The sequence below is a fragment of the Homo sapiens genome, chromosome 1, assembly GCF_000001405.40.
Source record: "Homo sapiens chromosome 1, GRCh38.p14 Primary Assembly".
Classification (NCBI taxonomy): Eukaryota; Metazoa; Chordata; class Mammalia; order Primates; family Hominidae; genus Homo; species Homo sapiens.
Window position 1 is genome coordinate 53,037,587 of NC_000001.11, and position 16,102 is coordinate 53,053,688.

Sequence of the window (16,102 nt, forward strand, 5' to 3'; positions counted from 1 at the left end):
GTATTTAGGCCAGCTTCTTTCCCCGATGTCCAAAAGCAAGTGGTGGATGGTATATTACTCCTATAATTCTTTATACTGATAGAGAAAATGAGTTGAACAACAACAAAAAAGGCCTTGATTTCAGAACCACTTGTCTTTAAGTTCTGATTGCAAGGAACCAAAAATATACATAAGGCTAGCTGTGGTGGCTAACCCCTGTATCCCAGCACTTTGAGAGGCTGAGGCAGGAGGATTGCTTGAGCCCAGGAGTTTGAGACCAGCCTGGGCAACATAGGGAGATCCTGTCTCTACATACACACACACACACACACACACACACACACACACACACACACACACACACAGATCCAGATCCTGTCTCTATACACACACACACACACACACACACACACACACACACACATTCAATTAACCAGTTGTGGTGGCACATGCTTGTAGTCCCAACTACTTGGGGGAGGCTGAAGTATAAGGATTGCTTGAGCACTGGAGATCGACCCTGCAGTGAGCCCTGATTGTGCCACTGCACTCCAGCCTGGGTGACAGAGTGAGACCTTGTCTCAAAAAAAAAGAAAAAAAACCTATATGTGTATATATATATAATTTATATGTGTTTATATATATACCATTTATACGCTTATATATATATGTCATTTATATATGTGTGTGTACACACACACACACGGAGAAGGGCAGGTTGGGATCTCTACATTAAAGATGCCAGAGTGAATCTTTCCCAACTTATTGAAACATACGAGGGCTATTTTGGCAGAAAATGCTGCCCTGTCCCTCCTTCCCTTCCACCAGTTGTATCTAAAAAGCCCTTTTTGTTCTTTTTTGAGACAAGGTCTTGCTTTGTTGCCCAGGCTGGAGTGCAGTGGCATGATCATAGCTCACCATAACCTCAAACTCCTGGGCTCAAGTGATCCTCCCATTTCAGCCTCCTGAGTAGGTGGGACCACAGGCATGCACCACCATGCCTGGCTAATTTTTTTATTTTTAGTAGAGACCAGGTCTCACTATGTTGCCCAGGCTGGCCTCCAACTCTTGGGCTCAAGTGATCCCCCCACCTCTGCCTCCCAAAGTGCTGAGATTACAGGAATGAGCCACCATGGCTGGCTTAAAAAGCCATTTTTAATAAAAGACTTGGCAGATGTGGGAGTTGTTGCCTGCTTGCCTTTCAGACTTTTCTGGGTAAAAGATCATAAGGGACCTTGGGGACCGCTCCCTGGCCCGTATACTCATATCATGTATCTATTTAAACATGAATTTGCTTGAGGAGAAAGCCAGAGAAATGGACTTAATGTAACCCCAGTGTTATTTTTCTTTCCAGGAAGGGGAACAGTTTGTGAAGAAAATCGGTGGTATTTTTGCCTTCAAGGTGAAAGATGGCCCTGGGGGTAAAGAGGCCACCTGGGTGGTGGATGTGAAGAATGGCAAAGGATCAGTGCTTCCTAACTCAGGTTAGTTTGGGAATGACTTCATTCTAGGAGCACTGACGAGTTTACGAAGGCTGTCAGCTGGGAAAATGGGGGTCTGCTTTACTGTTCCCAAAAAGGACTGGCTTTTAATGTTAAAGAACCAGTAAATTCCAGGGAACAGGAACAGGTCAAAGCCACCTCCTCCCAAGGATTTGGAGGCTCCATCACAGAGTTGCCAATCTTAGGCTTTGGAATTAGGCAAACTTGGGTTGGAGTCCCATCCATGCCATTCACATAATGTGACCTTGAACAAGTTATTTAACTTTCTGAGACTCAGTTTTCTCTTCTGTAAATGGGCTTAATAAATGGCCCCTTTTCATAAGGTTGGTATGAAGATTAAGAGGATTCTTTCTTAATTAACCGTAAGGCACACGGTCCAGTGCATGGCTGGTGGCCTTGGAAGACCTGTCCATACTCACAATCGCCAGTTATTCTTATCCAAATCTTTTTTGACCCCACTCTAGTCAGCTTTTGTCCTCATCACTATCCCCAGACTGTTCCTGTCAAGATCACCAGTGACTACCACATTGCTAAATTCAGTGGTAAATTCCCAGCCCTCATGATATTACACTTACACGTTTTCCTTACCTACTGACTGTTCCTCCTTGGCCTCTCTTGATGGTTTCTTTTTGTCTTCAAATTTCTAAGCATTGGAGTGTTCCAAGGCTCAGTTCTATTTGCCTTAATTCCTTGGGGATCTTAACTAGTCCCATGCTTTGAAACAGTTTCTACACTGATGACTTTGTCTTTAGTATGGACCCAGCCACTGAACTACAAGGTATACATCCAGCTGCTTAACTGACAAGTTTACTTGGACACCTAATAGGTATCGCAAAGCTAACGTGTGAAACTGAACTACAGATATTTCTTCTCCCCTCTAAGTATGTACTCCTCCTGCTGTTGCAATTGGTAAATTGCTCCTGTGTCCTACTGGTTCCTTGGTCTAAAAGCCTTGAAGTCATCTTTGGCCACTTTTTTTCTCTTATACTCCACAGTTTAACCCATCAACACATCTTGTCCTCCTCTGTAACCACCACCACCCTGGTCTAAGCCAGCATCATTGTTTTATCCGGTCTCCCCGATTCTGTTCTTGCCCACTACTCTGCACACCTGCCAGAGTGATCATTGAAAAACTTGTCGAATTGTTACCTTCCTCTGCTCAAAAGCATCCAATAGCTTTGTCTCACTGCAGGTAAAGTTCTTAAAATTGCACTGTATGATCTGGCCTCAGTTTTCACTGTCTTACTATGTATGTCCTTGCTCACTTGGCTCCAGTAACACTGACTTTTTTGCTGTTGCATGAATGTGGGATTCTCTTGGTTGGGGGCTTTCTGCTCTCTGTTCCCTGTCCGGAATTACCTTCTCCCAGATATCCTTGTGGCCTGTTCCCTCCTTTCCTTTGGATCTTTGCTCAAATTTCACCTTCTCAGTGAGCCACTCCCTAACCACCCTTTTTAAAATCTTAACCCCACGGTGAAACCCCATCTCTACTAAAAATACAAAAAAATTAGCCAGGCGTAGTGGCGGGCACGTGTAGCCCCAGCTACTCAGGAGGCTGAGGCAGGAGAATGGTGTGAACCCAGGAGGCGGAGCTTGCAGTGAGCCAAGATCACGCCACTGCACTCCAGCCTGGGCGACAGAGCGAGACTCCGTCTAAAAAAAAACAAAAATCTTACCCCCATTACTATTCCCTATTGCCTTTTTCTGCCTTATTTTTCTCCATAGCACTTATTACCATCTCATATACCATGTAATATTTTACTTATTTTCTTATTGTCCATCTCTCTCACTTGAATTGTAAGTTCCTTGAAGACAGAGCTTTTTGTCTGAGGTACACTGCTGCATTCCCAGTGCTTAGAATGTACCCGAGACATGGAAGGCCTTCAAAAATGAATAATTTAAAAATGGACAACAGAATGAATGGCATCGAGTAAGCATTCAGTAAGTGGTAGCTGTACTGTACTGTTATGCTTCTCTTGTTGGAGAGAGCCTAGGGTAATTTAGAAACACTGTGGATTGGGACCAGCTCTTTGGAGGGCTTAAAATGCCATGATAGGGGCTGGGCACGGTGGCTCACGCCTGTAATCCTAGCACTTTGGGAGGCCGAGGCGGGCGGATTACGAGATCAGGAGTTCGAGACCAGCATGGCCAACATGGTGAAACCCTGTCTCTACTAAAAATACAAAAAATTAGCTGGGTGTGTGGTGCGTGCCTGTAATCCCAGCTACTTGGGAGGCTGAGGCAGGAAAATTGCTTGAACCCAGGAGGCGGAGGTTGCAGTGAGCCGAGATGGCACCATTGCACTCCAGCCTGGGCGGCAGAGCAAGACTCTGTCTTGAGAAAAAAAAAAAAAATGACATGATAGGAACTTTGAAAGTCGTTTTGTATATAACTAGTATACCAAAGCTTTTAAATATACATTAGAGCTTCCTAAGTAGAAAAGTGAAGTCAGAGCTGTGTTTTAGAGGATGAAGCTGGTACATTAGACCTGATGAATTGAAAGGGGTGAGAGATCAGAAACAGAGAGAGCCATCAGGAGGATAGATGTTGCCACTGTCTAAGTGAGCGGAGAGGATGACCAGCCTTAGTGTAGGCAGTGGGAAAAGTAAGTGTTCTGAGAGTAGATGCCAGAGATACTGGAGGTGAAGGTAATGGGACCTGGGAATTGTATAGAAGAAGCGTGTCTATCAAAGATGGTGAAATTTCGTTACTGGCACATTTTTGAGGGAGGTCCTGTAGGAAAGGATGACATCGGGAGCACAGGTGGAAGCAAGGTTACCTCTAGTAAGAAGGGGTGGATGGAAACTTCTTTCTCTGCAAGGGTAGTTAAATATTCAGGGGCATTTTGAGAGGAGAGGAGGTTGGCAAGCTCCTGGAATAGAGTGTAGAGCTTGGAGTCCGGAGAAAAAGTGAAGAGCACTGTTAACGTGCACGGTTGAATAAGGGATTGATGAGAGATGAATGAAAGAAAAATTGAGCAGTAGTTAGGGCATCCGTCTAGTGTGGGCAGCATGGCTTTGTTGTGGAAGTTTCCTGAATTATACAGAGTCCCTTTTTTTCCTTCCAAAATGAATGGGAAAAAAATGGCCATAGCTTTGCATTCTATGAGCTGCCACTCTAAGGTGGTGTACAAAGAAAAGCTAAAGGCTTTATCTGGATTCCAGCTTTTAGAAATAGAACTTCAGGAATTATAGTAGTGATCTTTTTTTTTTTTAATGACTGAAGGTTAATGGTTACTTTTATATTTAGATATGCCCATACTGATATTAAGGTTGTTTTTTTTTTAATTTCTCCTTTTCCTCCTATTTTGTTGTTGGTTGATAGCGTTGGTTTGTCATCAAAGATCAAATGCTGATGGAAAGCTGTTGAATGATTTTGGAAAAGCTGTGTTCCCTCCAGATACGTTCTTGCCATGTTCTTCCCACATTAGGTGCTGTACCCCAGACCCCAAGGGATCTTACCCTGGGGAAGGATAGTTTCTGCTGAAACTGACACTTATTGGCAGCCAAGAGTGGTGTTGAAATACAGACTTACCAAGAAAAGCCATCACTGGAAATTGCCAGCTCCTTTTACATCAACCAACAAATGGCTATTTGTTAGAGATTAGCTACATTAAAGCATTAATAACCTGTCCTAGTTTGAACCGGCATCTTAAGGAGAATTGCTAGTTCATTTGGCATGTACATAATGTTAGGGGGTTTGTTTATTGTTAACAAAGTAAGATTTACTTAAATGTATTTTGTAAGAGCTTGGTAATGATTACTGAGATGATTATATTATGGATTTTTAGATTTTGTGCATTTTCCATCATCTCTTTTTGCTTCCTGGGTGCCTTTTAGTATCTTCTCCATGAGTTCTGCCTTTCCCTCATCTCCTTTGAAACGACTCATATAGCATATCTCCAGGAGGCCATCTTTGATTAATCTAACATAACATATTATTCCTTCATTCCTTTATTCTGACCCTTCAGCACCTTGAGTTCTCAACTCTGTCCCTTTATGGGCAGCATGATACAGAAAGCTTCAGGGTCTCCTATCCCCAAGGTAAACTAGAAAGAGCATAGCCAAAAGAAACAGCCAAACCTGGGTTCAGATCTAGGCTCTGTCACTCAGAGGGTATATACCTTCCCTGAGAGTCCAATGGTCTTATCTAAATATGATGAGAATAATTTCTATCCATAGAACTGTTGTGGGGATTAAATGAGATAAGGAAGATAGAGCACCTAGTGTAGTAAGTGCTCAGTAAATCATTGTTTCCTCCCCAGACCATATGTTAAACATTAATTTTGCTTAGACACATAGGTTTGTCTCAGCCCCTCAAAAGGGCTTTGAAAACTTGGAAACCATCTGGGATTCATCAAATGCTATGAATCAGTGAAGGTGCAGTTAAAACTGAGCTGTTGAATGTTTACATACTTCCTAAAACAAAAGGAAGCTGTAGAGCATAGGAATTGGGAGTATGAGCTTTGGCAACAGGAATCTGCATTCAGATGTAGCTCAGCTACTTACTAGCTATGTGGTCTTGGGCAAGTTATTTGGTCCCTCTGACCCTTATAGGATTGTTATAAAGATCAGATGAGACCAGATATGTTGAAGTGTTCAGCATAGTGAGAGCTCAATAAATGCTGATATTATAGCAGCAGCAGTAGCAGATTTTACTTCCTGAAGCCCCCTTTCAATGACCGAGAGTCCTTTCTTGGACTGTTAGGACCAGGTCCAACTATCTCAGTTTGTTTTTTACCTCGTGCTCTTTGATGTTATATATCTGCAATAGAACTGGATTTTCTAGGCTGTAAATTTGTTTATTTTTTAAGGATTTAGACCTTTTTTCGAGTATTAAGAGAAGATTTTCTCAGCAGCTAAGTTAGGATGACCATTGAATCTCAGTCTTTTTAGGGGCGATCCCTGAGTTGTAAGACACATAATAAAACCTTTTTTTCTATCTTGTTTCAGTGATTTAATACTATAGGCATACTATGCTTTAACAGTTTATTCCATCTCTTTTTTTTTTTGAGATGGAGTCTCACTCTTGTCACCCAGGTTGGAGTGCAATGGCACGAACTTGGCTCACTGCAACCTCTGCTCCTGGGTTCAAGCGATTCTCCTGCCTCAGCCTGCCGAGTAGCTGGAATTACAGGCACCTGCCACCATGCTCGGCTAATTTTTGTATTTTTAGTAGAGATGGGGTTTCACCATGTTGGCCAGGCTAGTCTTGAACTCCTGACCTCAGGTGATCCGCCCACCTCAGCCTCCCAAAGTGTTGGGATTACAGGTGTGAGCCAGCGCACCCGGCTTCTATTCCGTCTCTTTTATTAAGGCACAGATTATCTGATTAGCTATTATGACATAATTTGATCATCTTTTGAAATTCACATAATCTATTAATTTATTCAACAAGTATTTATTGATTTCCTATGTGTCAAGTACTCTTCAAGGACCTGTGCATATAGCAGTGATCAACACTGACAAGGGCTCTGCCCCCTTGAAGTTTTCATTCTATTGGACAAATACAGACAGAAAACACATACACATATAAGTAGTTTCAGATCAGTGCACTGTGAATAAAATGTGACTTCATTTTAGGGAGAGGCCAGCTTTAATTTGAGCTAATTCTTAATGAGAGGAGGAGCCAACTGTTAGAATCCTATTGTTATATTAATTGATTGCCTAAAACGTTGACTGCTGAAAATGTTGATTTCTTGGTGAATTTTTCCTTTTGCACTTGAAACCTCTCATTTGGACAAGGTAGACATGGCTGATTTAGCAATGAGATATTAGTCTTTGTTGTCCAGTCTTTTTTCCACTATTTTACTTTGATAATAAAATTAATATTTTAAAAGCTTTGTATTATTAAAATTGCATACACTTGATTTTAAAAAATTAGAAAAGATAGACAAACGAAACGAAGAACTACCCTACCAAAATTCCACTGTCCAGGTTAGGAGTTGGCAAATTATGGCCTGCAGACCAAATCTAGCCCATCACCTGTTTTTTTGTTTTGCGTTTTGTAAAATTTTTGTTGAAGTCTAGCCTGTAGTAAAGGGCGTAATTCCAGAGTGTACCACGTGATGAATGTTTACAAATGAGTACACCTCCAAGGTCAAGACACAGAATGTTGCCAGTACTCCAGAAGCCTCCCTCCTGCCCCCCTGCTATCACTATTCACTCCCAAAAGGAACCATTATTTCAAATCCTATCACCATAGCTTGATTTTATTTATTTTAGAAATTCATACAAATGGAACCATAGAACAATAACATTTACTCTTTTTTAGGTCTGGCTTTTTTTTGTTCAACAGCATAAGATTCATTCATATGGTTGCGTGTGGCAATAGTTTGTGTTTACTAGGCGAATACCCCAGAATTTATTCCTTGTGCATTTGATGTATCTTTGCATTGTTTCAATCTGGGAGCCTGATGAATAAAGTTGTTATGAATATTCTTATAGATGTCTTTTAGTGGACATTTCCATCGTACTTACTTCTACTGGACACGCACCCAGGGCTAGGTGATAAAGTGCAGGTTTTGGGTATGGATGTACTATTTTACATTTCCTTCCATATTACATGAGAGTTTTAGTTCCTCCACATTTTTGACAGTACTTGGTACTTGCCAGGTTTTTTTAAAAATCAGGTTAATTGATGTACAATTAACAATAAACAATAAAATCAACCCTTTTTAGATGTATAATTCTGTGAATTTAGACAAATGCATACAGTTGTGTAACTATCACCAGAAATCAAGATACAGACAGTTTCCATTACCCCAGAAAGTGTCCTCATGTCCCTCTATAGTCAGCCCCCTCAGGCCCTTTTAGCCACTAGTTTGATTTCTCTCCCTGTAGTTTTGCTTTCCTTAGGAAGTCATACACATGAAATGATACAGTATGTAGCTTTTTGAGCCTCCTTCTTTCACTGAAATTTATTCATGCTGTTGCATGGATCATGAAGTATTTTATTCTTTTTTGCTGCTGAATGGTTACCCCTTCACCAGTTGATGCACATTTGGGTTTTTTCCAGCTTTTGGCAAGTATGAATCTTAAAGCCACTATAAGCATTCACATACAGGTTTTTGTGTGGACGTAAGTTTTCATTTTTCTTCGGTAAATACCTAGGAATAGGATTGCTAGTTCATATAGTATGTGTATGTTTAGCTTTATGTGAAACTTCCAGACTGTTTTCTGAAAGTGGCTGCATCATTTTACAGTCTTTCTGGTATTATGTTGACCTTTCATTTGTTTCCCATCCTCACTAACACTGGGTATTGTCTTTTTTTTTTTTTTTTTAAATTTCAGCCATTTGTTCTAGTAGGTATGTGGCACTCATCATGATTTTAATGTGAATTTTCTGATGATTAATGAAGTGAAGCACTGTTTCATGTGTTTCTTGGCCATTTGGAGATCTTCTTTTATATAATGCCTACATGTGTCATTTGCTCATTTTTATATTGGATCGTCTAACCTTTTCTAGTTGAGCAGTAGGAGTTCTTTTTTTTATCTTTTCCTGTAATCCACTGTACCTTAGAAAGGAGTTCTTCATATAGTCTGTATATGAGTTGTTTGTCAGAGATATATGAGTTGCAAATATCTTCTCCTCCCTCTGTCTGCCACCTGTTTAAAATAATTTTATTGGAACATAGCCAACATTTGTTTATATATTATCTATGACTGCTTTTGCACTACAGGGGCAGAATTGGGTAGTTGTGATAGAGACCTACTGACCTGCAAAGCCTAAAATATTTAGTGTCTGATCTGTTACAGAAAGTTTGTTAACCCTTGATCTAGAGAACCGTATTCATTTTCTATTACTGCATAACAAATTGCCACAAATTTAGTAGCTTAAAACAATGCCCACATTTATTAGCCCACAGTTTCCATGGATAAGTAGGCTGAGGACAGCTTAGCTGGGTCCTCTGCATAGAGTCACACAAGGCTACAGTTAAGCTTTTGGCCAGGGCTGGGCTCTCATCTGGAGGCTTCAATGGGGAAGGATCCATGTCCAAGTTCATTCAGGTTGCTGGCAGAATTCATTTCCCTGTGGCCTTGGGAATGATAGCTTCCCTCTTTTACTGGCTATAGGCCAGAGCTGGCCCTCAGCTCCTAACGGCCAGTTCCCTGCCACGTGGCCCTCTCCATAGGAAGTCCACAACATAGCAGTGAGCTCATTCAGAGCCAGCAGGAGAGCAAGAATGAGTCTGCTAGCAAGGTAGAATCATTTAATGTAACAAAATGACAAGAGTGACATCTCATTATCTTTGCCATATTCTGTTAGCTAGAAGCAAGTCACAGGTTCTACTCACACTGGAAGGAAGGGGATGTACACCAGGAGGGTCACCTTAGAGTCTGTCACAGTTACTATTAGTAATATATTGGTGTCTTAAGTTTACAGATGTTTTTCTATGTTTATATAGTTGAATTCTGTTTTAAGCAAAAATGGCATCATACAGTTTCTTTTGTAACTGGCTTATATAATAATATCATGAATAATGTAACATGAACATTTTTTCATGTCAGTAAATCCAGATCCATATCATTTCTTATTGTGGCTTGTATCATACCTCACTATTTGAATATACCATAATTTATTTAATCAATTCCGTCTTGTTAAATATCAGGATTGCTTGTGGTTTATGTCACATTTTACCAGGCTGCCATAGAAGTATATGTGAGTGCCCATTTCCCCACACTGCCTCAGTGCTGGTTATAATTCTGTTGCAGTCAGTGGCTCTTGACAAAAATGTATATGTGAAACTGAACACCTCCTATTCTCCTTCCTTCTCCTGTGTATCTGTTTTAGATAAGAAGGCTGACTGCACAATCACAATGGCTGACTCAGACTTCCTGGCTTTAATGACTGGTAAAATGAATCCTCAGTCGGTAAGTATGATGGAGCTTATATCCTGCTAGTAGGTAGGTCTTTCAGCCCTTTCTACTCCATCTCCTGACTCAGACTCTAAAGTGCAAAGTGGTCAGACTCACAAAACTCAGTGTTCCCCAAACAGTTGACAGACGTCTGTGGAGCAAGCTGTGTGCCACACACTGTCTTGTGTGCTGGAAGTGCCCAGAAGAGTAAGAAAGTTCCCACGCTCAGGGCATCCACAGATGTGTAAAAGAGTCAGTGCAGCCAGAGATCCAAGGTGCCACACCTGGCTTGTGGTCAGGGGAGGATGAAGGCAGGAGCAGCCATATCTCTCTGGGCCATCAGGGAGAGCACCACAGAGGAAGCAGCTCTTGAGCTTAGTACCCAGGCGGAAAGTAGGAGTGTTCCAGGAGGAGGGAGGGGTGGCATGAACAAAGGCCTGACCTTTTACATTCCATTTATTTGCCCATGCTCTTCTTTTTGCCTGACCTGTCCTTACCTGACAAATGACTTGTCTTTCAAAATTAGCTCAGATATTATCTCCAAGGACCTCTTTCCAAGTTGCTGGGGAGCTGTAACCAGTCCCTCTCCTGAGCCACGTACTGGACTGCCAGCTTAGTGCCTGTTGTGTTATGTTAGTCATAATATGCCTCTCTCTCTTCCCTGTTAGGCTGTGAGTGTCTCAAAGCATCAAAGCACATCTTATTTGTCTTTATGTTTCCAGAATTTAGCACAGTATCTGATGTTTTTAGGTATTCTGTAAACAACTGTTGGACTAAATTGCATTTGTCTAAAGTGTGTTTATGCCTTGTATAGATTTTCCTAGTCCCCAAATTGTCAAGGGTCCTCTTAGGCTCTTCAGCTGCAGTGTTGAATGGACTTGATATAGTGAGCTTTCTGTCAACTTGATATATACTGAGCTTTCCATTAATAAAAAAGAAACTAAGACGTTTCTTTCCAATGTAACTTAATTTTTTCTGTTGTCTCAGTCTGGTTTGTTTTAGGTTTTATTCCTGTGGTTCTCTGGTAATTTCCAAGATTGGATAAAACAACTAAATCTCACTCCCACTTGCTTTTTTAAAATGCTTTTTCTACGTAACCAAGCACATTTTAGTTGATGCCATGACAAGTGAGAAATTTGCATCTGTGATGTTTCAGCTGAATACACACCATTGGCACTGACATTTCCACTGAGCCTGCTCCAGAAATCTGGACAGAACAGAGGCCACCAGTATAGGAGCTGGCTGTCATCCTCCTTCCCACCCACTGCACATGCCATGCACAGCTTTGGCAGGCTGTTCAGACTTCACACATCAGCTGCCTTCATTCTCTCAATTTATCTTTGTACTGCCCATTTTGGGGGCAAGGTGTCAGCTTATTTTCCTTCAGCACCTGTTAACACCCAAAGGAATTAAAGATAAAAATAGCAGACCTTTCTATTAATGTGCTAATGGACTTCCCTTATGCTCAGAGGATTTCCAGAGGATTTGACTGGAAATCGTTAAATGCAGTGGAAATTCTAATTTCAGTGTTTGGCTCCAGCAGCAAGCGTACATGAAGAACACCTAGGGGCCAGATTAAAATCATCTTTATGTATGGACTCTCTGAAGGGTGAAGATTCATGTTTTCTCTATTGTTAGTAAATAAAAAGTGATTTTCTTTGTTAACTTACAAAGGAGAAAGGTGGCGAGTTTCTCCTGTACTACTGGTCCGTATTTTTAAATGATGTTTGTTCAATATATTGTGTTCTGAGACACCTGACCTTTAAGGCATCAGACAGAAGGCTTTGTGCCATATAGAAAGGAAATATTTAGTTTGTCCAGACAGAGGAAGGGGAAAAAAAGGAATTAGTCACCCTTACCAGGAGGTACAGAAAAAAACAGAGCTCCTTACATTCCCATGGATGATGTAGAAGAGCTCCTAGCTTCTTAATGTACTGTTAAAAACCTAGGACTACCAGAAGCTTTTTTTTTAAATCTAGCCCTTCCTTATTTTAAGCATTCAGTTAAAATACTGAGATCATGGCAGGGAAATTATGCTACGTTCCCAATTTTGCTGTTTCTCTTAAGTTTTCCTGGGATTTTGTTACATGGTAAATTTAGCAAACATCATGTGATCTAATCCCAGGCAGTTGTTAAATGGAACAAATTGTGGCTCTGCACTTCAGATTGGTTTGATTTTTCTTGTTGAGCCAAAGAGTAACACAAGCACCTCATTCTCAGCAGGCTCTGTGCCCTCTGTAGGGATAAGTCCTTTATCATTGGTGGCATTTCATTCACATGCATGTTGGATTGAATCCCAAGAGTTTCTGTGTTTTTTGTGTATGCTTTTTCTCTCAGCAGCCTGCTAAAAATTTCAGTTCATATTTCCCACCTACATGGAATGTTTTAAAACATAATCAGTGTAGTATGAACCCACTTTGAGGAGGACAGGTGAAAACAGGCTCAATTTCTATGAGAAATTTGGGAAAGCTGCTCCTTTCTGCTGATCTGCAAAAAGTGTGGCCTTTACAAATTCTTCCTTTTGAAGAATGTGGTTCCAAATCTATTCCAGAAAGCCAAGTTTCATATTTTAGAGAAAGTCATGTGACCTGGATAAATAAATGATCTCAGGGCTAGATAGTGTAGAAACATCAGCAATCTTAAAACAAAAAAACACCAAGTAATGAATTTTCTTTCTTCTTCACAGGCCTTCTTTCAAGGCAAATTGAAAATCACTGGCAACATGGGTCTCGCTATGAAGTTACAAAATCTTCAGCTTCAGCCAGGCAACGCTAAGCTCTGAAGAACTCCCTTTGGCTACTTTTGAAAATCAAGATGAGATATATAGATATATATCCATACATTTTATTGTCAGAATTTAGACTGAAACTACACATTGGCAAATAGCGTGGGATAGATTTGTTTCTTAATGGGTGTGACCAATCCTGTTTTTCCTATGCTCTGGGTGAATAGAGCCTGATGGTATACTACTGCTTTGCGGAATTGCATACAACTGTGCATTACAAAGTTAATATGGTAATTATGGTCTGGGGTAAAATTGAGTTTCAGAATAAAATTAGGAACAGTAAAATCCAAAGAACTATGTAAACAAAAAAGCTTTTGTTTTGCTTACAAAGTATATTTAAGGATTATTCTGCTGAAGATTCAGTTTAAGAGTTTTCCTTGGGAGAACTAAGTAAGAAACACAATGCCAACAGCTGGCCAGTAATTAGTGTTGTGCACTTCATGTCATTAATCAATTTCTCAATAGTTCTTAAAATTAGTGAGATTAAAAATCTAAAAATTTTGCATTTCATGCTATCAGAAACAGTATTTTCTTCCCAAATCAAAATAAAAGAAATATGATCAGAGCTTGAACACAGGCTTATTTTTAAAATAAAAATATTTTTAACATGGGTTTCCTTATTGAAAAATCAGTGTATTAGTCATAAAACACCATCATTAAGAATAATTGAACAATAAAGTTTGCTTTCAGATGCAGTTTTCAAATTATAATCTCATTTCAATTTATAACGTTCTCAGTCCTTTGTTATAATTTTCCTTTTTCATGTAAGTTTAATTATCTGCATTTATCTTTTTTCCTAGTTTTTCTAATACTAATGTTATTTCTTAAAATTCAGTGAGATATAGGATAAAATAATGCTTTGAGAAGAATGTTTAATAGAAAATTAAAATAACTTTTTCTGGCCTCTCTTGTTTTTACTGTGTATGTTCTTGCTCAGGGCTCTCTAGATAATGCAGAATAAAGAGAAACGTTGGGGGATTTATAAACTGAATGTTATCTGGACATAATCACTAGTTTTTGATTGGGGAGGCAGTGTGGTATAATAGAAAGAGCACTTGACTGGGAGCCAAGAGACTTGCTTCTCTTAGGCAGATAACTGCCTGCCTGGACCTGTTTGCTAAACTATTAGGAGATTTAAGTAGATGATCCCAAAGGTCCCTTCTGCTCAGAATCCTGTGAGTTTCCTCAGAGCACAGTAGAATGGTTTGGGAATTACCCAGGCCCCACCTTTCTGTTGTTTACTCATTACTTCACCCATAGGTGGTCAGAGGTAGACAACCAGCTGGTATCATTTGTTTAGGTGTTTGGAGCCCTTGCTGATATAGTCAGGACTATGGATCAGATCTCCTAAGACCATTTAGCTTTGCATGTTTTGTGACCAGCAGAACAGCATTTGGTGATAGGGCAAGAGGATACATTAAGCCAATAGAAGTTGATCCCAAGTTCCATAAAATGAATTCAGAACACAGACCTACTTCCTAATCATAGTAGCTTCTTACTCTGAGAAGAAAAAGACTTCAAGAAAAGAGTTTCAACAAAATGTCTGATTTCTCTGTAGTTTGGATTTGCTGCATCATTCTTTCCTCACTTGTCCCAGATAACAAGAGATACCTGAAATAGGCTTTAGGATGAACCTCAAAAACTAAAAGGAAAAACAAAAACTGGTTCTTACAGTAGGATTATATTCATATATGATGTAATTTGTGTGCATGATAGAAAAGTACTTAGTGATAAAATAGTTTGATTTTTTTCCCCCTTCTGGTATTATAGTTTGGAGGAAGGAGATTAAGTTTTAATTTGAGTTAAAACTGCCATTACTAGTTGTGCTAGTTGAAGAGATCAAGTCTTAGTTGCCCGATTGATAAAGTGGAGATACTAATATCGGCTTCCTAGGATTATGAGAAGCTGGAGAGATAACATGTAAAGTACCTATAGCAGTTGCTAGTTTAGGGTAGTCATTCAGTAAATGTGAGTTCCCTTGCTCTTCTCACCATTAGCAGCACCACTTGCTCCTGTGATATATGATAATGATGTTTGTAGTGTTATGTCCCACTTTTGGAGTCTTTCGTTTGTTCATTTAACGAGTATTTATTGAGTGCCTACCATGTACAGAGCACTATATAGAAGGCATAATCTCACTGGAGATACTAGTCAGCTCTTTTTCTCAAGGTGCTTACATTCTAATGGGTGAGACAGTCAGTCAAAGAGACAATTATTATTGACTATGAAGTGCCCAGCAGGAAATGGTTAGGGTGCTCTGATAAGCAGTCATAGCGAGGGACCTTGATAAAGTAGTTAAAAGAGATGTCTTTGAGGAAGTAATTTTTAAGCTGAGATCTGAAGGTTAAGAAGGAGCAAACCATGCAAAGAACATTGCATGAAAGGGTGGAAACAGGCTTGATTTGTTCCAAAAATTGCAAGGGGGCCAGTGTGAGTGGAATAGTGAGCAGGAAGGATAGGCCCGAGATAAGATCGGATAGATACACAGAAGCTAGTTTTATTGGGATTTGTTCATTACGGTAAGGCTTTTTTTGTATTTCATTCTTAGTAAAGTCAGGAGCTGTTGACAATATAGCTTTACAGATGTTTATTTCTTACTTAGGCTACATATTCATCTTGCCATCATATCCTAGGTCTGGAACCCAGACTAACGGAGTAGCCACTACCTGGAACATCATGACCATCATGGCAGATGAAGAGAAAAAGGTGAAGTGCATGTTGGCTCTTAAAGCTTCTGCCTGAAGTGATACATACCACTTTTGCTCCCATCTCCTTGACCAAAGAAGGTCACATGCCCCACCTAACTTCAGAAACCTAACATGTACCAGAAGGAGAAAGCAGAGTGGGAATATTCGTGAAGAGAACTGATGACCACCAGAAGGGCTGCAAACGGGAATGAAATAATTTAAACTACCGCTGTAGCTGGTGTGTGGAGAATGTACTGGTGGCAGAGGGCTGGAGAATGGCTGTCTGGGTGCAAG

At 40.2% G+C, this 16,102-nt stretch overlaps 1 protein-coding gene across 9 annotated transcripts in view; it reads left to right on the forward strand.

Moving 5' to 3' along the window:
• The window catches only part of SCP2 (sterol carrier protein 2), a 124,423-nt gene extending 110,311 nt beyond the window's left edge, over positions 1 to 14,112 (forward strand). For 6 of the 9 annotated variants that reach the window (NM_002979.5, NM_001193600.2, NM_001193599.2 and 3 more), the window contains 3 exons: positions 1,331 to 1,460; positions 10,272 to 10,351; positions 13,023 to 14,112. In NM_002979.5, the coding sequence (NP_002970.2) occupies positions 1,331 to 1,460; positions 10,272 to 10,351; positions 13,023 to 13,118 (306 nt within the window). In that variant the 3' untranslated portion in view covers positions 13,119 to 14,112. Of the gene's footprint in view, positions 1 to 1,330; positions 1,461 to 10,271 lie in introns of all 9 variants that reach the window. The other 3 variants (XM_005271103.5, NM_001007250.3, XM_047427504.1) reach the window with 2 other exon arrangements.